Below are 25,331 nucleotides of genomic sequence, written 5' to 3' on the forward strand. Positions count from 1 at the left end.
ATTGATGAAAGTGTCTGCATTTTGCTACTCTGATTATGCAGTTTAGGGTATATAATTTATGATAAATGTAATCTTTTATATTCAGTTATTTTTTTACTTAGGTAAAATATTTGGCAACATAAATGTCATCCTTTTATACCATCAGATCTCAGAGAGAGAAGGTTGAATATAATTACACATGCACAAATCAACAATATAAAAATTAATAACTGCAGAATCAAAGCTACAAAAATAGCTCTTTCAGCCAGAACCACCATCTTCCAGTAATTCACCAAAATGACGAACACAAAGGGAAACAGGAGAGTCACCTGATAATTGTTCTCTTGGCCTTTCAGAAAACATAGAATTGTTCCTTTGGCCACATACATGGGAATCCACAAGAAAGGCGATATTGTAGACATCAAAGGAATGGATACTGTTCAAAAAGGAATGCCCCACAAGTGCTACCATGGCAAACCTGGAAGAGTCTACAATGTTACCCAGCATGCTGTTGGCATTGTTCTAAACAAACAAGGGCAGGATTCTTGCCAAGAGAATTAATGTGCATATTAAGCACATTAAGCACTCTAAGACCCGAAATAGCTTCCTGAAACGCGTGAAGGAAAATGATCAGAAAAAAAGGAAGCCAAAGACAAAGGTACTTGGTGTCAGCCAGCTCCACCCAGAGGAGCACACTTTGGAGAACCAATGGAGAGGAGCCTGAGCTGCTGGAACCTATTCCCTATGAATTCATGGCATAATAGGTATAGAAAGATAAAAGACCTCTGAACTACAAAAAATAAATATATTTAAAACATATATGTAATATATATGTATATATACACACACACACACATAAAGGGCACTTTTTAAAATTTATTTATTTATTCATTTATTTATTTATACTTTAAGTTCTGGGATACATGTGCAGAACATGCAGGTTTGTTACATAGGTATACACATGCCATGGTGGTTTGCTGCACCCATTAACCTGTCATTTACATTAGGTATTTCTCCTAATGCTATCCCTCCCCTAGCCCCCTACCCCCCAACAGGCCCAGTGTGTGATGTTCCCCTCTCTGTGTCCATGTTTTCTCATTGTTCAGCTCCCACTTAGACTGAGAACATGCAGTGTTTGATTTTCTGTTCTTGTTTGCTGAGAATGATGGTTTCCAGCTTTGTCCATGTCCTTGCAAAGGACATGAACTCATCTTTTATTATGGCTGCATAGTATTCCATGGTGTGTATGTGCCACAATTTCTTTATCCAGTCTATCATTGATGGGCATTTGGGTTGGTTCCAAGTCTTTGCTATTGTGAACAGTGCTGCAATAAACATACGTGTGCATGTGTCTTTATAATAGAATGATTTATAATCCTTTGGGTATATACCCAGTAATGGGATTGCTGGGTCAAATGGTATTTCTGATTCTAGATCCTTGAGGAATCACCACACTGTCTTCCACAATGGTTGAACTAATTTACACTCCCATCAACAGTGTAAAAGCGTTCATAAAGGGCACTTTTGAAAGTAGAGCCTAAAGACAGTAAGTAGTTTTCTGTGGTGGTTTCTTTCTTTTTTTTTTTTTTTAATGTGAGTAGATAATAACCATTACCTTCATGCTCTGTTCAACCCTGAGAAGAGCTTTTCAAGCTGTATTCCAGAAATGCAACATTAGAGTCATGCTGAGAGCTTTTCCTTTTAAAGCAGGTAACAGCTTATTATATAGATGTGGGGAGATATCATTTAGCTACACGCCCAGCTACACTCCTGGCCTGAGTCACTCTGACAAGCTTTGTATGATTTTCAAATAGGAGAAATGATCTTACTGACACTTTCTTCCAACCCAGAATGGGCTCCTTTTAATTAGGAAACTAGAAGATATGAAACCTCATTTTTTCCCCTAACTTACTGTACCATGTATCTGCTATTGACATTTTTGAAAAAAGACATCATTTTCCACATGTTGGGAAATTTTGTTATATTCAGTTTTATAAGTTATACAGCTTAATTATCCCTTATCCAAAATGCTTGGAACCATAAGCATTTCAGATTTCAATTTTATTCAGATTTTGGAATATTTGCATTCTATATTTTACCCTGGTTAAACATCCCAAATCCAAAAATCCAAAATCTGAAATGCTCCAATGAGCTTTTCCTTTGAAAGTCATATCAGCACTCAAAAGAGTTGAATTTTAGAAACATTTCAGATTTCGAATTTTCAGATTTGAGATGCTAAGCCTGTAACAAACAAAACACATGCACATAAAATGTTAGAAATTTTTCTATTCACATTAACTTTCCAAAAACTGCATTTTAAAATAGAATTTTAAGAATAAAAGGAATTCAGATGCTGTCTCAAACATTAAATGACACTGTCTGTTCAACTGACACTGCCAAGGGCATCAAAAATACTTGGGTTTGGTGTCATGAAATGTTTATATCCTTTTCTGCAGACGTAAGACTTAAAAGAGAGTATTGGATATTGCAGCAAATTAGTAATTTTAAAGCATAACTTAGTGTATTAACTTAGGAGCAAAATAAATGATGTACATTGATTACTCAGTTGAGTTTGATACATTAACTAGAAATACATAAACGTATGATTACATTTTAAGTGGACCGTAAGAGTTAAAGTGCTCTACTTACGATGAAATATGTTTAACTAAATGTCAATTACACCATTAATATCATTAAAATATCATAGTTTCCAAATAAATGATCACCATTGACCTTTTTTTCTTATTTCTGAGCTTAGTCATTTAATGTATTTTATTTCTGCTATAATCAAAATGCTATTCATAAGTAAATAACAACAGAAAAATATGTAAGTATGTAGATAGCAAGAAGGTTTACATCTACAGTTTTCCAACGGAGATATAATCCTGAGGCTACCTAACACTTTCCATGAGATATAAAGACAAAGATAGTTTTATGGAAATAAATTTAGTTAAAATATTCCCTTTAACAATTTCCCTTCTTCTGCTTCACAAAAGAAAGAAAACTACCTTAGGGGCATAAAAGTCTCTGGGGCATTAGAGACGCTATTTGAAATGTCGGTGGAGGTATTAAGAAAATTAAGATCGTGTCCAGGAAATGCAGTACCTAAAAAAAGAAAAGAAAATTAAGATTAGGTAACAAATCATTTTTTTTTCAATTGAGGGGTACTCAATTATTTTTCTTAAAAAAATTGTAAAGAGTCTAATTCAGTTGTCAATGATAGGTCACTAAAAGTACTTTTGATATGAGACTACTAGTTAGGATTCTTCAGATAAACAGAAGCAATAGGAGATAGAGATAAAGATATAGATAGATACAGAGACAGAGACAGAGATAGAAATAGAGATAGAGAGAGATAGAGAGAGAGAGAGAGATAGAGATTAGGGGATACAGATAGAGATAAAGGTAGAGGGGGGGATAGAGATAGAGATATAAACAGAGACAGAGATAGAGAGAGATAGAGATAGAGATGGAGATACATAGAGAACTATCTTAAGGAATTGGCTCTTGCAGTGGGGCTAACAAGTCTGAAGTTTGTAAGACTGGCTGGCAGGCTGGAAATTCAAGTAAGAGTTGACATCGCAGTCTTGAAACCAAAATCTATAGAGCAGCCAGTAGGCTGTAAACTCAGGCAGGGTTTCTATGCTGGCTGCAGTCTTAAGGTAGAATTGCTTCTTTTTTGGGAAACCTCAGTCTTTGCTCTTAAGGCCTCCAATAGAATAAATGAGGCTTAGCCACATCATTGCAGGCAATTTGCTTTACTCAAAGTGTATTGGTTGTAAATGTCAATCACCTCTACAAATACCTTCACAGCAACATCTAGACTAGTGTTTAACCAAATAACTGGGCACCACAGCCTTGCCAAGGTGACACATAAAGTTAACCATGACAGAGATATATGTGTTTCTTGCATATGACTTGAGTCAATAAAACTGAGTAACATTACTGTAGCAAAACTTTCATTCTCATCTACTTATTTAAGTGAACATAAGCTTTTCATCTCTAAGGAGGAGAAACAAAGCAAAGTTGATGCTCAACCCTGCCTAACAATTAGTAATATTCATGCATGTCTACAATAAGCTAATTGTTTAAAAAAATTATATCTATCCCCCTAAGAAATGCATTTGCTTAATAATTATGTATCAAAATGTGTAATATATTCATGCCATTTAGTCCAATTTTGTACTAATAACTATAATGAAAACTCAATCCAAAAGAAACATTTGAACAGTTAGAACCTATGGACATGAATTTTAAAAATTAGTTCCCAAATGAATACTCATGTATTTATTGCCGAGTAATATGATTAATAAGGGATTTTTAAGCATAAAAATCAATTAGGTTATAATTCAGAGGCAGAAATACAAGTACGAAGAAAACTACAAGTGAAACAATAGAAGATTTTTAAGCATAAAAATATATTGAATTAAGAAACAATTCTGTGGGGGGATGGAATGGAAATAAAAGAACAAAGAAAACTACAAATTAAATTTCTTTGAAAAGCATGGTCACCTAGTTTTGAATGGGTTATAGCTAGTAACACATTGCTATGGTTTTTGTTATATTGAGTGCTTTTAAAATGGTTTTATTCTAAAAGGTCAATATTTATATTATACTGAATATTACATCCCTTATCATTGTTTATAGTGATGAAAAGAAATTTTAATGTCCTTTTAAATGTGCAGGAGGGTATATAGCTTTTTAGAATTCTTTTAGCAGGTGTGTAAGAAAAAATTAGGAGATTACTGTCATACACGATATGCCTTAAGAATACAAAAGACATTTCTGTCTAGAAATAACTATGCTAAGTGGAGGAAACTTTTCAAGTTCTCAACTCTACAGAATATATTGCTACAACACAACCGAACCTTAGAGATCATCTTGTGCAGGTTCATTATGAGAAAATTGGGCCCAGAAAAGGTAATAAGAGGTTCTCTTCACCCACTCTAATGTCTTTGCCTACATCGTGATGTAGAGACCTTTTGCTGAGATGATTTGGCACAGCATCCTGCTATGCAGACAAGACTGTAAGGGCAAATATACAGTATCAGAATGGTACATGTGAACATTGTAATGGAATTTTATTAAGACATTTTATTTACTTAGCACCTCCAAGTTTATCACTTTTTGCTAAGGATAGATTAAAAGTTTGTCCCTGAACTTTCAGAATTTAACAGGTATTAATATGGACCTATTTGACAGCCTGATTCTGGCATATAAACTCCTGAAGTATAAAAAAATGGCTACCAAAGATCATGGCCCTCAGATGCCAAATGCTAGAATCGAAGGGGAAGCTGAGTGCTTTACCTGAGGTAAAGTGCTTAATATAATCATAACTAGGCTTTGTAAAAGAAAATATGGAGAGAAAATACCAAAGCAGTATTATATTCATTTGTATCAGTTTATATTAGGCTAATAATGTTGTAGGTGATTTTTTTCTTTTCTTTTTTTTTTTTTTTACAAATTTTGTTTAATGGGATCATATTACTTTTACAATAGAAGATTGTTTTCAGAAATATTCAGAGTTTGTAAGTTTCTTCACATTCACAAAATTTGGAGAGTTTAGACTGAAAAGAAGTATCAGGGGAGGAGAAGATAAATAATTTTAGAGCTTTAAATAGAGATCTACTAAGGAATATAAGGACTGATAAGAAATAAATATCAAGGCATTTATACCTTTATATTTTCTATTTAATACAATTATTTCATGTAATCAATTGAAAAAGAGATAAAGCCCCACCCTGTTGGGTTGTGACACATCAGACTTAGCCCCAGAGTGGTATCACTGTCAATGAGGCACAATCCAAACAGGCAAAAAAGGTTTCAGTGGAATTTCATTCCTTAGTTAAACCTCTGTAAAGACAGTAAAGGGAATCTATTTCTAGGCACTCAGCAAAATGTCACAGTTAGTGCATCTTGTTTTCTCTTCTCTTCTCCAGTGCTCTCAAATTCCACATCCACTAGAGCCTTTCATTTGCCAAACCAAGGTAAGAGGCAACAAAGAAAAGAAAAAAGAAATAAATAGATAAATAAATAAAAACTTCCTCTGCAATCTTCAGTCTGAAACTGTTTCTTTCCAAACTCATTGATTTGCTGAGATTCAACCACTTTGCTGGGTCCTCCTCCCTTTCCCTTTCTCAAGCTGGTGATGGATATGGGTTGGATTGGGAGAGTGGGAGTGGGCTGCAAGTTACAGGATTCCTGAATCATCTTGCTTCATCTTTAACTTTATAAAATCTGTGAAAAATTAAACATTTACTCACAAAATCATAACAGATACACTGTATCATTTTCTGCAACATCAACAACAACAACAAAAAATCAAAATTTGTAGTGAACGTCCACTTTCTTTTTTTTTATTATTATACTTTAAGTTCTAGGGTACATGTGCACAACGTGAAGGTCCTTCTCCACTTTCTTTTAAAAATGACACTGACAAAAACTCTCAGTCATTGAAACCCTGTGAAGTGTGTACTTCAGGGAAATCTGTGTTGATATGCATGTGTGCCATGTCAGAATCACTCACTACAGGAATACAGATGCAGTGTCTGCAGAAGCGTACAGAAGCCACATAGCACTGCTTGGAAAGATCCGTCAGCACCAGCCATTTGCTTTTTCTCATCTTTGCTTAGAAAATTTCTCTTCCAGCCACCACAACTGGGATATCTCCTGCTCAGTGGTAAATCACTTCTATTTAATAAAATGGCCTCTTAGAGCAATTTTTAATCTATTTTACTACCATGATGATCTGCCTGATCACGCTGATGTCTTCAAGGTGACAGCACCCACTGCATAATTCTCAGCCTCCTGGATCACACCACAGCCCCTCACTGCCTTCACTGCTGCAACATAGCAAAAAGCAAATTATTCTTGAATTGCTGAAAAAAAGGATGAAAAAATTTATAAAAACATTCAAAACAATTCCAAAAAAGCATGAATAAATTTTATAATACTTTCAAGACAATTTGTTTGATATTTATTTTCTAGATAATTGATCTACATAATTTAACCATTGTTTCCTCCGCCCAAATAAAACCTAGAAAGAAGAAATGATATGAAAGGGAGGTAACTCTGGAGAAAGAAACACAGTCAAGACACTCTATAGATTGGCCCCTTGAAAATATATTCTCTCACTCTGCCTGAATTGTCACATTGAATTAGCCAGACTACATAAAACTCCACTGTTGGAGATATTTTGGGTTAACATATATCTTCCTTTAAAGCACAAACAATCTTGGAGTCTTATGTTTAAATCAGCTTATTTTCATACTAAAAGGTGATTAGGAAGAGTTCATAAAAGATGGATTTTATTTGAGAGGTATGATGGGTTTTCACAGGGGAGAAACAGGTCATATTGAAGCAAGGAGGCCTTCCATGAGAAGGGCAAGATCAAAGATTTTACTTATAAACCTAGGAAAGCACTGAAGAGAGCATCTAAAGAGGTTGGAAAGTATGAGTAGAGAGTTATGATACAAAAGATGCTCTGTGAGCATTATAATTTTACCCAGAGCAGTGTTTTGCCCTGGAAAAGAGGAGGAAGTGTCTTCTAGCACTGAATACTACCCACAGACCCTCTTCATGGATGAGCCCTCCTCCCTGTCTAACTTCTATTCAGTTATTCACTTAAGCAACATTTATTAATAATCCTCTGTTTATAAATTACAAGAAGAGTTAGATGGGGATTTGGAGGACTGGTGGATAAGCTAGCTATCATCTGCAGCTCTACTTCATGGGGAAATGTGCACCAAGTACCCTAATATATGAACTCAACTTATTGTGAGAAATGCATATAAGAAATAAGTCAGAATATTTTTAGAAAGCATGCAGAAAGAGGAAAAAATTTAGCTACTTATAAGTAGCTAAATAGAATGCATACATTTTATTGTCCTACTGAAACAATATATATTTTTTAGTCATTTATACAGTAATATAAATTAGTTTAACACAATTGATTTTTTCCTAATTCTTAAGCTGATACTATTGCCAGGAAGGGGAATTTTTATTTTGGTTTGAGATCTATGCAGAAGACATCATTTTGCAATATGGATCATCTTTGGAGGTTGTACAGGCCGAGATACAGAGATGAAGAAAAACAAACAAACAAAAACTTAGGGCAGTTTAAATCTAAAGGTCTGCTGAAAACCCAGTAGGAACTCAAAAATGTTTTTGGACAAATAGGCTATATATGATCAACTCAGGAGTGAAACATTAAGTAGAGAGATATTTCTTCTCGTTTGTATTTATTAGGGACTACTCTATGAAAAAAGAAGGGAAGATTGCTGGTTGATGAGTTTGAGAAGGTGCCACGATCCAGCGTATCCTACCTGATATATTAACTCAGCCAGAACAAAAGAAGCAGAGGGGATAGGGTTCTTATGGGGTTATAAAAAGTAATTCAATGCTAGCATTAAATCTTTAAAGGAGTTTGTTGTTAAAAGGAATGAGGAACTGAGGCTTAACATGACTTAACAAAATACATTTCACACCCTGAACTAGGCCCTCTATTTTAGACCAGTTGTACATCTCTCAGTTTGTCTCCATTTATAGACAGAAGAACACACTGCATTAGGTCATTAACAAGACACATACAATGCACTGCCTTCTCAGTATAAGCAACCATAAAAATTCATTCTGGGGAAGAGTAAACCTGCCCTTCAACATTTCAGTTGTTGAAGGTTGTGCTGAATTAGATTGCAAAGATTACATAATGTCTTTGGGGGTTGCAGGCCTTTCATCCTCTCAGCTGGCATGAAAACTGCTAGGTGCTCTCAAACAGCACTAGAATTAATATGTGCGCATGTCCTATCACTTCGTTTATACAACACATCCTTGGCTTTTAAGAAACGAACTTGATTAGCCTTCCTCCAAATAATGTTCTGTCATTGTCCAAGACAAGGGGAAGTAGGTTCTGACTTTAAGAGATTTTAATCCCTGTAAAGAAGAGCTCTTCAAACGATCAGAATTGTAGAATATCAGAGTTCAGTAGATCTTAGAGTATTTTTTAGACTAAACCCCTCTTTTTATAGATGAAGCCACTGAAGATCAGAAAATTATTTGTCCAGAATCACACACCTAGCTCATGGAAGAAGAGACACCAGGTCTTTGCCTATTGAGATTCAGGTTTAGATACTTAAATACTAAAACTATGCTGTACAGTCTCCAGGGAACTCTTTAAAAGTGAAATTCCCATATGCCACTCCAGACAAATCATCAAAACCTCTGGGTGAGGAAACTTAGCTTCTGTATTTTTGTAAGTTTCCCAGGCAATTCTAATGTGGAACCAGTTTGGAAACCACTAGTCTAGGAAAAGAGTCTATCATCTTTGGCAAAGACAAACAAATATCTCCCTTTCTCTAGCATGTTCTTGGTTCTTGGTGTTCTTGTTCTTGGTGTTCTCGGACCTATTGTCCTGGGTCTAACTGTTGATAGAAACCCCTTTCACACTCAGAAATATCCCAGTATGCATGTCCCTAGCTACATCCTATCTTTAATCTATCTAACTTTTAGGCATTGAAATGACATCTCCCATGGCAAATGCAAAAGTCCCCCTAAAGAGTTAAAAAGTTATAGCTATGAGTCATGGTGCCAAAAAATAATACAATTTATCAGCTACTCTGGAATTCTCCCCCTAAAAAAGAGATATTTCTATGTCCATATTGAATTTTGGCTTCCTAAGCTTAAGGTGACAATGTAGCCAGGTTTTCAAAGACTTTGGGATGGCTAACTTTCTGGGATCTCCCTAGATTTAATATTATAGGAGTTCCCTACTTCCCTTAACAACAAATAGCAATTTATTAATGTTAGATGCAGGAGGAATAAAGGAATCCTGACACAAAACCAAGTTATTAACGAAAATGCTTATACCTGTGACATATCCAGAAAACTCATTTGTACCATTGAAGGAATTGTTAACTTCCTGCATGTTTTTTTCAATCTCCATTTCTATTTGTTGTTATTGTTTATTTTTGTCAGGATGTTTTCAGTTTGAAATAACAGAAATGCAATTCAACTAGCATGTGGTAAAAATTAATTTATTGACTATGTAATAGGGAAGGAAAGGAATGATCCCAGCATCAAACATTTTTTACCAACCTAATATATTCAGGACCAGATCACCAAGATCCTTTCCCCTTGGAACATCACAGTGTACTCCATGTAAATGTACAACTATTACATGTCAATTAAAAACAAAATTTTAAAAATTAGCCTTTTCCAGGCCGAGACGGGCAGATCACGAGGTCAGGAGATCAAGACCATCCTGGCTAACACAGTGAAACCCCGTCTCTACTAAAAATACAAAAAAAAAAAAAAAATCAGCTGGGCATGGTGGCAGGCGCCTGTAGTCCCAGCTACTCGGGAGGCTGAGGCAGGAGAATGGCATGAACCTGGGAGGCAAAGCTTGCAGTGAGCCGAGATTGTGCCACTGCACTCCAGCCTGGGCAACAGAGCGAGACTCCGTCTCAAAAAAAAAATAATAATTAGCCTTTTCCTCACGTTTCAGCTCTGCGTCTTTCTAGGTGTGGGCCTCATTCTCTAGTATTGTTGCCTGGCTGTAGCCACATGATGAGTAGGATAGTTTCTAGTGCTCTTAGTTTCCTATCCTTCCAGTAAGGGGACCACAGAGGCAAGAAACAATTTTCCACCCTTGTCCCAATAGGAATATCCCAAGGAGTCTGATTGATTGACCGATGTCATTAAGCTACCTCTCAACCAATGTATGCAGCCAGAATAATGAGTGCTTCGGTTGGCCACAACTGTTATTCCCATCCACTAATACTGGGTTATATAAGGAAGGGGCCTATTATATAAGTAAGAAGGTGCATATGGGAAAACTTGTTGTGCAGTTTAAAACAATAACTACCACATAATAATACCATCATCCTCATAGAGCCTCAAAAAATAAACAATTCAATAGATTAGTAGAGAAAATCTCAAAACATATTTAGGGGTAGACCTGCTTGCTTCTAAATTAAAGGTAAGAGGAATGCTGGATGAAAGATATAAAGCTTATTCTTCTAAATGCACTGTTCCAAATTTATTGAAATGGAGTGAGAATGTCCTTTCTTCACATAAGCACCTGAACCTCTATTGGGAAGTTGCCATTAGAAACACAGTTACATACGAGCGAAAAAGCAGCTGAAATCTCTCTTTTATTCTAATAGGATTCTGAGTGCAGATGGAGGAGCATTAAATTACACAGGAAGTCTAGAAAAGAATGAAATCCAGACCCAGGATGTCCTAACCCTTCCCTGACCCTTAAAAACAAAAACTGTGCAATTGGCACTTTAATGCTTTATATTCACTTATCAGGTGATAGCAAGAATTTGTGGATTACTGAAATGGAGCCTGAAGAAAACAGGTCAAAAAAGGGAGGCATATGAATAGGTATTTAATTCTTTCTCTGATAAATTTTAGAATATATTTCTTAGACCTTTGTCTCTGAGTTGGAACTACATTCAAATATGAAAAGAACTATTGATTAAACACAGCTGGTGAGCATTTTAATATCACAGTCCAAGAGGATGAAGCAGGAGCCCGTGAATTCCTCTCCAGTATAATCTCTGTTTATTATCAGATGTTTTCATACATTCAATTCTGCTCCAGGAATGCCTTTCAACACTTTGTAAATAAGAAATAGTAAATGTAAATGAGTCCGTAATTAATTATATAAAGAATAAAACTGAGACATGAAGAAGTTGGTCTCCTGAGAATTCCCATAAATTATCATGGAGTCTAAAAACCAATTGCTGAAGGAGGATATGGTCAGTGCATTTGCAATGTTAGAGAAGGAAATATTTTTCCAAGCTCAGCTAGTAACTACTGTACTCATTTCTATGCTTCAGGGACCAACTTGTGATTCTTTAGATCAATATTTCTCCAAGTTTCAAATGTTAGTATAAATGCACATTGTAGGCTATCACCCCATCTTTGCTGATTTAGTATCCGTGAAGAAAGGGCCTGTTCTAGAACCTTTATTTTAATAAGCATCCTCACATATTTCTTAAGCAAGCTAAACTTTAAGAACTACTGTTTTACTATTTATTAATTACCAGTACACTATTTTCTACCTCTAGTATATGATTTATTTTTCTTTATATTTAACTTTTAATAAAAACAACATTTGATCAGTATATGATTTATTTTTCTCTTTATATTAAACTTTTAATAAAAACAACATTTGATCAGTATTGCCTTTTACTCCTTAAGGAACTTAGGAAAGCATTCCTTAAGCACAATTCTAGGTATATCTAGCCTATCTGAGATATATAAACAAAAGTTCTCTATTATTCATTCAACAAATATTTACTGAATATTATTTTGTGACAAACTCCACTCTCTTTACTGGAGACAGAACAATGACCAAATAGACAAAAATCACTGCCTCCATGGAATTTATATTCTGGGTGAAAGAGAGGTTGCTAATAAGACTTAAAAGATGAAAATATACAATATGTTAGATAATAATACTTTCTAAGAAAAAAATGAAACAGAATATAGCAATAGGTAGCACATAGGTGCTATGGTTTGAATGTATCCCCTCCAAAATTTATGTGTTAGAAACTTGTTCCCCAGTGCAGCAGTGTTGAGGCCTAATGAGAGCCATTTAGATCACGAAGCTTCTGCCATGCCACCATAAAAAGTACTCATGGGAGTCAGTTCTCTCTCTTTTGCTTTTCTGCCATGTGAGGACACAACATTCCTTCTCTCTGGAGGAAGCAGTGTGTGAGGTGCCATCTTGGAACCAGAGAGACCAGGCTCTAAACTGACGGTGCCTTAATCTTGAACTTCCCAGTATATAGAACTGTGAAAGAATAAATTTCCACTCCTTATAAATTATCCAGTCTGTGGAATTCTGTTATAGCAACACAAAACAAACCAAGACAATAGGTGAGAGGAAAACAGTATTTGAAATTTTAGACAGGGCAGTCAGGGAAGGTTCCACTAAAAAGGGAACATTTAATTTCAAGCCTTAGAAGGTAAAGAAGTGTGGCTATTTGGGAAAGGAGAATTTCTGGCACAGACACCAGCAAATGCAAAGATCCTGAAGGAGCAAAAGCATGCCTGATATGTTAGATGAAGACGAAAGAGATCAGTGTGCTTGGAGCAAAGTGAACGAGAGAGCAGTGGAAAATAAGATCAGAGAGCTGGAGAAGGGCAGATCAAGTAGTATCTTACAGGTTCTTCTAAAGACTTTGGTTACATTATGAATGAGATGAGAAGCAATTGGGACTAAAGATTCTGAACACTGTTCTTTTTATTTAAAAAGCAAAAGTAAGAGAGGGAGTATAATAGCATGGCTTAGAATGCAAATCCCTGACTCTGGAGGATTTTACTTCCAGCAATATCTAGTTCAGTGATTTGGGCCAAACCTGCTAAAGATAATAAAAAAGACTAGCTAATATTTTTTAACTTCCTAAATGCATTAAAGAACTAACAATGCAATTAGGAATTATCAAATTTAGGAGAAATTTGGAAGAAAACAGGAATCTAAAGAGATGAGCCTAACATTCAAAACCACCCCACCAGTGGGCATTTGTAAATCCAAAAAGAGATGATTAAAAGGTTGTGCAACACTTTTTATAACATCACTTGAATAGGAACATATAAGTAGGGGTCAAAGTTGGGGAAAATAGAAAAGAACTCCCTATTTAATTTGGGGCTCAGAAGGGCTGAAAACTGCATTCCATGAATAAGAAAACTGGAAATAATCAAAGAACTATATGGACTGCAGCATCTCTCTGCCATCAGATTTCCTGGGTAACACAGAATATCTCAAATCCTAAAATTAGATTTAGGAGATCCTAGATTAGTACTGCCACCAGGCACATAAAAGAAACAAGAGTAAATCTTCCCTGGAGGAATTCACATCATCTTAGGCCTCAAATTATTTCTATAAATAATTTTTTCAAATACACTATGCAGCACCTAATCAAAGATAACGAAAAACATGAGGAAACAAGATAAAATGAACAAGATCTGGTACAAATAACAGTCAGCAGAAACATCCATAACTTCTTCAGTTAGTAAAGTTGTCAGAAACAGAACATAAAACAATTACCATGTCTATGAAGTGAAGCTAAAAGGCCAACTTTTAAGCTTCCAAAATGAACTGGAAACTGTAAAGAGTAAACATTGCTAATTTTAAAAAGAACTAATTTGATATTGAACATTCCCAACACAAAGAAATGATAAATGTTTGAGATGACAGAAATGCTAATTACCCTAATCTGATCACTATACATTATATATATGGAAACATCACTAGTACCCCCACGAATATGCACAATTATTACCTGTCAATTAATAAAAATAAAATAAAACAAATAAAAAGGAAATTCTACCATATTGGCCAGGCTGGTCTTCAACTCCTGAACTTGTGATCAGCTCCCCCCTGGCTTGACCTCCCAGAGTGCTGGGATTACAGGAGTGAGCACAACAAAAAGGAAATTGTAAAACTGAAAGTACAAATAAGCTAAATTAATAACTCAGTGGCTGAGTTTAAGAACAGATTAAAGAAAGATGGAAGACAGGTCAGGAAGAACTACTTACAATGATACATAGAGAGACAAAAATTTGAAAAATACAGTAAGGAGGGTTTGATTCATTGAGAAAACAATGAAAGATCTAGCATACATTTAATTGTAGTTGTAATAAAAGATAAGAGAGTGGGACAAAAATATTTACATAATATTGGCTGACAATTTTCCAAAATTGATAAAAGAAGCAAGCCACAGCTTCAAGAGATCGCAGGGCAGATTAAAGGAAATTTACACAGAGATACATCATAGCAAAACATATAATCAAATAAAAAACGAACAACCTTAAAAGCATCCAAGGGAAAAATAAAATATAAATTCTTTTCAAAGTAGCAACAGACTAACAGATGACTTTCCAAGAGCACCAATGAATGAAAACTTAAAGTGTAAAATATCTTTAACATATCAGTAGAAACACCACTTTCCACTTAGATTTTTATACTCAGCAATATCATTCTTCAAAACTGAAAGTGAAATATATACATTTTCGGATAATAAAAAATTGATATTCAAAGTTAATTCAAAATCAACTTCCAGTAATAGTAGGAGATACGTGGCCCTGCAAACCTGCAGCAGATAGCAATTATAAAACATGAAAGACATTAAAAACAAAACTGCCTAAAGTTACTGAGAAGTATCTAAAAGCATAAATAAAAATACAAAAACTGCGTGGAAGAGCTAAGAATTGTGAACTCACAATATAAAAACCACAGAGACCCAAATGCAGAATCTGAACTACTTAAATGCCTGATTGATAACTATTCGTATATTTTAAGGCTCCAGGAGACACCACAGAGAAGTAGGCAGAGGGAAGATAATGTGTATTCTAGAAAAATACAGTGATATTGAGCAGAATCTATGAATTGGATGCTTTTCTTAAAAAAGCATGTTCCCAGTTATGAAAAGTTCAAGTAACAGAAAACCTAAAGGTCAGAATACAGATCCCAAAGCAAACAAACCTGCAGGAAATTACTCGTATCTTAGAACCATTCCATGCTCTTTTTGCCCTGTTCCGTCTTTGCACTGCTTTTAAAACCTGGTTCTCTGTGGGTTTTCCCTATGCTAAAAAACTTGGTAGTTAGTTAAGTATTTTGGCACATGTGGCACTCACTTCAGAGACAGTTATAATGTCTATAAAAATATTCAAAGAATTGGCTGGGCATGGTGGCTCACGCCTGTAATCCCAGCACTTTGGGAGGCCAGGGCGGGTGGATCACCTGAGATCAGGAGTTTGAGACCAGCCTGGCCAACATGGTGAAACCCTATCTCTACTAAAAATATAAAAATTAGCTGGGCATGGTGGTGCGTACCTGTAATCCCAGCTACTAGGGGGGCTGAAGCCGGAGGATCGCTTGAACCTGGAAGGTGGAGGTTGCAGTGAGTCAAGATGGTGCCACTGCACTCCAGCCTGGGCAACAGAGTAAGACTCCATCTCAAATTAAAAAAAAAAAAAAAAGTTCAAAGAATTGAAGAAAAATATGGTGTCAATGAATAAATAGGCATTTTATAGTTAACATTTGTACTTCTTTGGCTTTAGAATTATTACTTAACAATGTTTATTTCAGTCAAGAAATAATATTTCTTAATATAATATTTATTATAATAAAATATATTATAATAGTAATATTACAATAAAATTATGGTAATATTTATACTATTATAAATATAATATTTATTTCAACAAAGAAATAAACATTATTGTTAAATAATTGTAAAGCTGAAGAAGTACAAATGATAAAACTACAAAATCTCCTAGATGTGCAAAACAACACATCAGAGATGCCAAAAACCACAGAGAATTAGTCAGCTGAATTGGTTGAACTAGTCAGTTAAATAAGAAAAAAGGGAAGAATAAAAAGGTTGAAATTGATTAAACTACATTAAAATGAAGAACTTCTATTAATCAAAAACACTATTACTGAATATTCTCACTTATAAACAACTCTAAACAACAAGAACACATGGACTCAAAGGGGAAAAACAGACACTGGGGCCTCCCTGAGGGTGGAGGTGGGGAGGAGACAGAGGATCAAAAAGCTGCCTATGGAGTATGATGGCTATCGCCTGACTGATGAAATAATCTGTACACCAAACCTCTGTGACATGCAGTTTACCTATATATAACAAATCTGCATGTATGCCCCTAAACCTAAAATAAAAATTAAATTAACAAAAAGAAAAAAGAAATCTGTTGAGGATGTGGAGAAATTGGAACTCCTCCATACTGTTGGTGGGAAAAAAATGATGCAGCCACTATGAAAAACTGTGGAGATTTGTCAAAAATTAAAAATGAGAATTATTATCCAGCAATCTCATTTCTGAGGACATATCTAAAGTATGCAGTGCAGGCCCTGGAAGAGATAGTTGCACACCCATGTTTATTGCTGCATTATTCATAAAAGCCACAAGGTGGAAGCAACCCAAATGTCCCTTGACATGAACAGTTAAAGAAAATGTGGCACATACATAGAATGGAATATTATTCAACCTTAAAAAAGAAACCTTGTCACATTCTATGATAAAGATAAACCTTGAGAATATTATATTAACTGAAATAAGCCAATAACAAAGTAATAAACACTGTAGGATTTTACTTATATGAAATAATCTTAAGTAGCCAGTCTCACAGAAACAGAAAGCAGAATGATGTTTGTCAAGGGCTAGGGATTGGGTAAAATGGGCAGTTGTTACTTAAAGGGTATTGAGTTTTAGTTTGCACGATATAAAAGTTCTAGAGGTCTTTTGCATAACAATGTGAATATAGTTAACACTATTGAACTGTACACTTTAAACGATTTAAAATGGTAAATTTTATGTTGCGTGCGTTTACCAAAATTAAACGCAAACATGTAACTAAAAAAATGCTATAAAAGAGTAAAAATGTGAGTCATAGAATGAGAGAAAACATATAAATCTAACTGAAATCTCATATTAGGACTACATTAAAAACTTCTGCAAACTAATATGAAGGAGAGATGACTATGGTAAAAAGCAAAAAAGAATGGACAGGAAACTTGAAAAGAGAATTCCAAAGAGAGACATCCCAATGACTTGTAAACAGAAAAAGATTCTCAACCTCATTAGTAATCAAGAAAATGCAAATTAAAGACAAACTATGTTCTCACTACATATTTATCAGAATGAGTAAAATTAAAACAATGAAAATTCTCACACACTGCTGGTGGGAATATAAATTGGTCAAGAATTTGGAAAATTATTTGACATTAACTGCCAAAGTTGAACATACACAGATCCTATCCTCAGCAATTCAGCTTCTAAGTATGTCCCCTGCATGTGCAACAGGAGACATGTACCAAGTGTTCATAGTAACATATTTATAATAACCAAATATTGAAAACACCTAAAGGTTCATAAAAAGTAGAAGAATAAGTGGTAATATCCTCATTCAATTGAATACCAAAAAACAATGAAAATGAACAACTATAGAAACAATTAGGAGTAAATGAACTAAAATTCCAGAGACAGAATAGTCCTTCCTAGATGAGATGTTGATCATGATCGCCAGCTGTTTTCTTCTCTGGGGGCATTTGCTGGTTTCTCTTCTGCTGGTTTCTTTCTGCTTAATGGCATTAAAATCTCTAGTTGAGACTTTGTTCTCAGTTCATACCAGGAATTGGCAGAGTTTTGGTGGCTTTGAGGAGCTCCCACAATAGATTAAAAAATACAAAAGCCCAGTTTTTTGTAATTTTCTTTTCTTTTTTCTTTAAGAGACAAGGTCTCCCTCTGTCACTCTGGCTGAAGCACAGTGGCACTATCATAGCTCACTGCAGCATCCTCAAATTCCTGGGCTGAAGTAATCCTTCCACCTCAGCCTCTTGAGTAGCTAGCACTACAGGCGCGACACCATACCCAGCTAAGCTTTTTTATTTTTTGTAGAGACAGGGTCTCTCTGTATTGCCCAGGATTACCTCAAACTCCTGGCTTCCAGTGATCCTTCCACCTTGACCTCTCAATGTGCTGGAATCACAGGCGTGAGCTGCTGTGCCTAGCAATTTTCTTTTACTATAACATCCTGCTCTGATTTTAGTTTTAGAGTTTACTAGCCTGGTAAGATGAGTTGAAGAGTAGTCATTCTTTTTATATACTACAGAAAAGTTTTAAAGCATTGAAATTAACTCCTTTATGAAGGCTTGATAGAACTCACTAGTAAAACTGTTGGTGTCTAGTGTTCTCTTTCTGAGGGTATTTTTACTGCTTTAATTTCTTTACTAGTTATGTGAGCACTAAAAATTCTTATTCTTGATTGAGTTTTGCTAAGGTATGCTTTTCTCGGAAATTGTTCATTTTGTCTATGATTTTTTTATTCATTAGCATAAATTTGTTCACAGAGATCTCTTGCTCTCTTCTAAATATCTGTTAATTCTCCAGTGATACCATTTTTCTTTGATTTACCATTTTATTATGGATATTTTCAAACATACTCAAAAGCAGAGAGATTAGAGCAAACCGGGATAGTAAGTCAGTTTATAACTATTTTCTATCTTTCCGTTTTGACTTTTTGGATCACTTTGCACCTGAGATTTTTCTTGGAGATTACATACTAGACTTTTGGTTTTTAATCCAACCTATCTCTGTCTTCTAAGTGGAGCTCAGATTCTTTTTACCACTTCCTTTTTTCATAAGTTTAAGTTTCTAATTCCATTTTTTTCTATAGTTCTGAAGATTACATACTCTATTTCTATTCATTTACTGGTTAACTTTAAGATTTTAATATGCAAACTCCTTTGATCTAAAATTTTTCAACATTTCAAACTTTCTCCCAAATACAAATATGTTACGTTTAACTCTTTTCATACCCCCTCATCATACATGTTAATTTTTCTAAATATTTATGTTGTATAACAATTTAACTACCCAAATCAAATATGGCATTTATACCATCCAATTTTTCTTCAGATTTACCTACATATTTCCCAGATATCTTGCTCACCAGTCCTTCTTGAATGTCTGAATTCCAACTTACTTTCTTCTTAGAGAACATCATAGAAATGTTGAGATATAATTTACATACTATATTAGTTTCCTAGGACTTCTATAACAGATTACCATAAACTTAGTGACTTCAAACAGTAGAAATTTACTCTCTCACAGTTGCAGAGTCCAGAAGTTCAAAATCAAGTTGCTGTTAGGGCCAGCCTCCCTCCAGAGGCTCTATGGGAAAATCCTTGCTTGCCTCTTCTAGCTTCTGATGACTTCTAGCATTCTTTGGCTTGTGGCAGCATAATTCCAAACTCTGCCTCCATCTTCACAAAGGTCTTTTCTCTGTGTCTCTCAGTGTCTCTTCATTTTATAAGGACAGCAGTCACTGAATTTGAGGTGCTAAATCCAGAATAATTTCTTTAGATCTTTATCTAATTGTATCTGCAATGACCCTATTTCCAAATAAGGTCAGATGCTGGGATTCTAGGTGGGCGTGAATTTTTGCGAGGACACTATTCAACCTCTACATGTGCCGTACAATTCACCAATTTGTACAGAGTAAAATGTAAAATTCATTTTTTTGTATATTTAGAATTCTGTAACCATCTCCACAATCAATTTCAAAACATTTTCGTTGTCCCTAATAGGAGCCCTGTACTGTCAAATACATCTTTTAAAATTTTCTTTAGTGAGAAACTTAGTGGTTGCAAATTTTTTCAGTTTTCCAAGTCTGAAAATATCTTTATTTTGTATTCGTTCTTAAAAATCAAGCAAAATTTATCATTGTAGGTTGACATTTATTTTCCCTCAGCAGTTTAAATAAATAAAATTCCACCATTTTCTGGATCTGTTATTGCTATTGAGAAGTCTGACATTAGTCTAATTGTCCTTTCTTTGTAGCATCTATCCTCTTTCTTTGTTTTTAAAACCTTCCCTTTATCTTTAGACTTCTGCAGTTTCACTATGACACGTTCAAGTGTGATTAGAATTTGTTGTAATTATCAAATCTTTAGATTTGTATATTTCATCATATTTAAAAAATTAGCCATTATATCTTCATAAATTCCTTCTTTTTATTTTTTTTCACTCTCCCCTTCTGGAGATAGACCTTGGTAGTGGGGAATCAGATTCCAGTTAGCTCAGCAGATTGCTCTGTTCTGGTCCCATTTTCCATGCCATCTGAGGGAAAATTCAAAGCGCATGCCCTACTGAGAATAGCGGGTATGTTAAGCCATCTTTCCAGATTAAGAACTGTGTTGCTATATTATAAATGAAGAGAAGTGTTCTTTGGAACTGTTGCTTGGCCTATAGATAAATATTTGAGTTTAGCAACTGATCTCTATTGGTTTTTTTCCCTAATCTTCCAGAGTAAAAGTGTTATAGAAATCCCATCAATCATATTTTGCTGTTTCAAAGAAAACACACAATATTGAGCAATTATTGTAGCCAACATCCCAGTATATAATTCTAGTTAATTACTGCCAGTTATTATGTTTTTTCCACAATATTTATCTTTCAGTGAGCAAAACTCAGTCTCAGAATAAGACATTATCTTATTCATTATGCCAGAAATGAATTTCTAAAATACATTATTAAAATAAACTATTACAAATCCAACTGTCTAAATGGAAGCTGTGTCTTTGTCATAAACCTTACTCAGGATACTTGGAAACTATAATTTGAAAAACAGAAATAAAATATGTCCCAGGGCTATGGTCCATTTGTCAGAACATTTCCACGTACATACTTTAATTTGATCTCTCTACATAATAAAAGATATTTACATATGTTTGGCAGAAGTTCTTGCTGTATTAATGTGTTTTTCTTCTCTTTTTTCCAAGAAGGTAGACAGTGTCTTTCTAATATCCTCTCCTCAGTGTGGTGGCCACTGCCAGGCCTGCCCACAGAAAGCCCTTAAGGAGACTTAAATGGAAAACTCAGATAAGGAGAGAATGTCCCTGTGCTAGCAAAGCAACAATTTCACGGCCTGGAACCCAGATTTTTGGTCTGGTTCACATGCTTCCTAGAGAAGGTTAAGTATTACCTTTCAAGGTGATATGTTATTTCTGGGTGCTGATGTGGCTGGAAATACAAAGAACAGCAAGCCCATCCCCAACCTGGCAGGCATTCCCCTTTTCAGGGGCTGCCAAGACCCCTGAGATTGGCTGTGCCTCTGCCTGATATGAGGGGGAAAGCGAGGAGCTGCACCTACATACTTGTGTCCCTGTCTTTATATGTTTCTGCTTTGCTGCTGTGATGCTTCAGGAGTAAGCTGAGTCCAAGTTATAGTTCTTACCAATCCTCAAACCCAAATCAGATTCCATTGTCCAGTCCAGATGCTCAGGGATATTTGTAGGGCATGAAGCAAAAACTGCTCAAAGGTAATCTTTTGTGAAAGTCTATATCCATTGGAGATATTATGCTAGTTGTCCTGGGGTTTCTTTGAGGGTGAATGTGTGAGTCTGTGTCTTTGTTGGAGAGTGGGACATGGATGGTCTTGGACAACTGAACGGGAAGAAAGTTCTAGAAGATCTACATCTTGCTCCCTGGGAAGCCCAGGGTGGGTACCAAGCCCACAGAGGAGTTTTGCTCTACACATGGCACTGAAAACACCGAACTATTGAATTTCAAGAATCTGCAGGTGTTTGTGCCATGAACAGCAACCACATAGGGCTAGAAATTTGAGACTCTTCCTTCCTTTCCTAAGCACCACATACATCCTCTGTATCATCCTAGATGGAGGAAAGAGCCGTGGTCAGGATTAATACCTTATTTCTCATCCACTTCTCAGAATAGAGAAACCAGGTCAGGGTTCAAGTTGATTTAGAGAAAATAAAGTAATGGATTATTTCCTCCAGATCTGACTCTGTGGCTTATGATTAATACTATATACCATACATATTTACAATTTATCTTTCAAGCTGAGTAAAATTTCAAAAATATTATCTATCACTTACTCGTAGTATACACACATACACACACACAAATGCACACATAGGTATGTACACACACAATGGAACACATTTTTCCTTATTCCATTTCTCTTTTGTGTGTTATTTTTCATTTTCCAAACTCCTAGACTTGTATGGTCTTCCTCCCCATGATTGTGATTCTCCTCTCTATGTTTTTCTCTTCTTTTGCAATATAATCCCTAAAAACCTTTTGCAGATGCCTCTTTTCCACCCTGTCCTTCATCTTCACCTTCTTCACCTATCAAGAACCACTGATAACTGGCTCCACTATCATTATCTTTGGCTGTGGGATAGCGCTGTTGTGCCTCCCCCTTCCGCATTATTTTCTTTTCTTTTCAGGTGATACACTCTTCTTTCCTGCTTTGAAACTTTAAATATTTAACTGGTGGACTGAAAAGATGTAGACTTCTTTTGCAAGAAGCTTAGTAATGAAATGAAAGAAACAGGCTGGGAGCAGTGGCTCACGCCTGTAATCCAAGCACTTTGGGAGGCTGAGGCAGATGGATCACTTGAGGTTAGGGGTTCGAGACCAGCCTGACCAACATGGTGAAACCCCATCTCTACTAAATACCAGAAATTAGCCTGGCGTGTGGCACATGACTGTAGTGCTAGCTACTCAGGAAGCTGAAGCAGGAGAATTGCCTGAACCTGAGAGGCAGAAGTTGCAGTGAGCCGAGATCATACCACTGCACTCCAGCCTGGGGGACAGACAGAGACCCTGTCTCAAAAAAACAAACAAAATAAATAAATAAGTATATAGTTCATTGTAATAGCAAATTGAGAAACAAGATATGTTCAGCACAGGAAAGACATGAAAATGCTTCTCCTCAGAAGGAAAGAAGTGAGTAGAGCAGGAGGCACTGACTAAGAGAAAGAAATGGATAATTAAAGAGCCAATTCCTATGAGAGGCAAGAGGGAGTAATATCAAGGGTAACTTGAAAAAGAAGGGACATTTTAAAATTAGAATAAAGATGAGAATTATTAAATATACAAAAAATATTAAATATACATTCTTAAATATACAGAAATATTAAATGCACAAAAAATGTGATGTAAAATTGAAGCAAGTTAATGGGGCTCCTACCACACTTGTCTCATTGCTTTCAACAGAGTAGGAGATATTGTCACTGGCTAAGAATGAGCTCAGAGGTTAGCAAGTGGAAAAGGTTTGAAATAACTGGGGAATTCTGAAGAAGTAACAAAATAATAACAATAGCCACAACAATAAAAATAATAATGGCATTGTAATATAATTATAGACTTCTCTTTTGTCCCTCCAGTTAACCTCAGCTTCTGTCATATCCTTCACTTCCTCCATTTGTGTTCTTACTTTTAGGGTCTTTGTTCTGTCTGCTGCAAGCCTATTGGCCCCATTCACTTTCCTCTTTCCATCCCTTGGTTCCTCTATACTCTTTTCCCTCTTTCATTCCTCCTCTACTCACAAAGCCGAGTTCTACTGGTTCCTTTTATCTGCAAGAGCTTTCTTCTCCTTATGTTCTTGCTATACCTCACATTTAATTTCATCTTCATTCCTCCCCACATCCATTCCAAAATCTGTAACTTCCTTGTATTAATTCCTGAAGCCAAATCTACTGATTTTTCCCTTCCTTTCCGGTCCCAAGGACTTTCTCTTTATTATTTGGTAGCTGTTTTCATCTCAGTTATTTCACTTTACCTTCCCTTTTCTACTGCTAGAGATAGGCCAGCTCTTCCTACCTCCTCTGCTCCTCCCAGGGCAACCATGAGCATTTTCATAGCTAGTTTTCCTTTCTCAGAGGTTATCACAGTCTCATCTTCTAAAGAATATACTGTCGTGCTCTTTCTTCCATCCTAAAAGCTCAATACTTGACAAGTAGACAATTTCCCAAGCCACAGTAAAAGTATATTTTAACCTTAAACTTCTTCTGCCCTTGCCACGATAGCTTAATTCAAACTGGTTTCCCACCTTTTTTGAGACTAGTGATTTCTTTAAACGAACGCTAGCAGTTCTTATATTCAGGCTTTCCTTCCCAAAGATAAAGAACAACCTTCATACTTGGTTGACTAAGTGAACTGCTCCATAAATCCTCTAGCATTCTGTAATTTCCTCGCCCCTGAAACTGGAGGGGAAAAATATAAATCCAGCCTTCAACCCATTTGTGCTTGCTACCTGTGCTCTAACAGACTATTTTCTTAGCCAGATCTGTGGCAGAATACAGATGACCTCAGATTCTCCGGTACTCTTCTCATCAAGAGATGACTGGATCTATGTCCATGTCCCTAGAATGTGAATAAGTTCTGTTCTTGCTTTGACCAACAACATGTGGAGGAAATGACGCTGTTTCAGTTTCTGGGCCCAGGCCTTAAAAGACTGACAGTTTCCACTTTATCTCTATTGGAAGAGTCACTCTTGGCACCCTCAGCTACTGTAAAAATGTCAGTCACCTGATAGAGAGACCAAGTGGAAAAGCCTGAGGCCCACTGGAAAAGAAGGGTTCAACTGAGCCTCGACTTCTAGCCATACCTAGGAAGGCCTCAGACGTGTTAGTAAAGCCTCCAGGCCAGATCAGCCACTCATAACACTGAGTAACCCCAGTCAATGCCATGTGGAGAAGAATCATCCAGCCACTTACCGAAACTTCCAAACAACAAAGGCATATGTATGTGTAAAATTGCATATGTATTTGCATATGTATAGATAATGTCTATATGCAAAATTATTATTGTCTGAAACCACAGTTTGGGGGATAATTTGTTATGTAATAATAGATGAAGGAAGAAGGTCTTATGGGCACACACAAAGGAATGTCACTCATGCACAAACAGATAAAGTTCATTTGTTCCTCAATGACCTTAGAATAGAGTATTATCCTCATTTCACAGATCGAAAAAATAGTAAGTGCGCTGTAGAATCAGTATAGT

At 35.8% G+C, this 25,331-nt stretch overlaps 1 long non-coding RNA gene and 1 pseudogene across 1 annotated transcript in view; one reads left to right on the forward strand and one right to left on the reverse strand.

Annotated features, from left to right (window-relative positions):
• RPL21P42 (ribosomal protein L21 pseudogene 42) lies at positions 238–779 on the forward strand (annotated as a pseudogene).
• Positions 843–25,331, reverse strand: part of ARHGEF26-AS1 (ARHGEF26 antisense RNA 1) — a 96,810-nt gene continuing 72,321 nt past the window's right edge. The window contains exons 3-4 of the long non-coding RNA NR_037901.1: positions 6,719–6,818; positions 843–3,084 (exon numbers count right to left, since the gene is read on the reverse strand). This is a non-coding gene — a long non-coding RNA (ARHGEF26 antisense RNA 1). The remainder of the gene's footprint in view (positions 3,085–6,718; positions 6,819–25,331) is intronic.

The sequence above is a fragment of the Homo sapiens genome, chromosome 3, assembly GCF_000001405.40.
Source record: "Homo sapiens chromosome 3, GRCh38.p14 Primary Assembly".
NCBI lineage: Eukaryota > Metazoa > Chordata > Mammalia > Primates > Hominidae > Homo > Homo sapiens.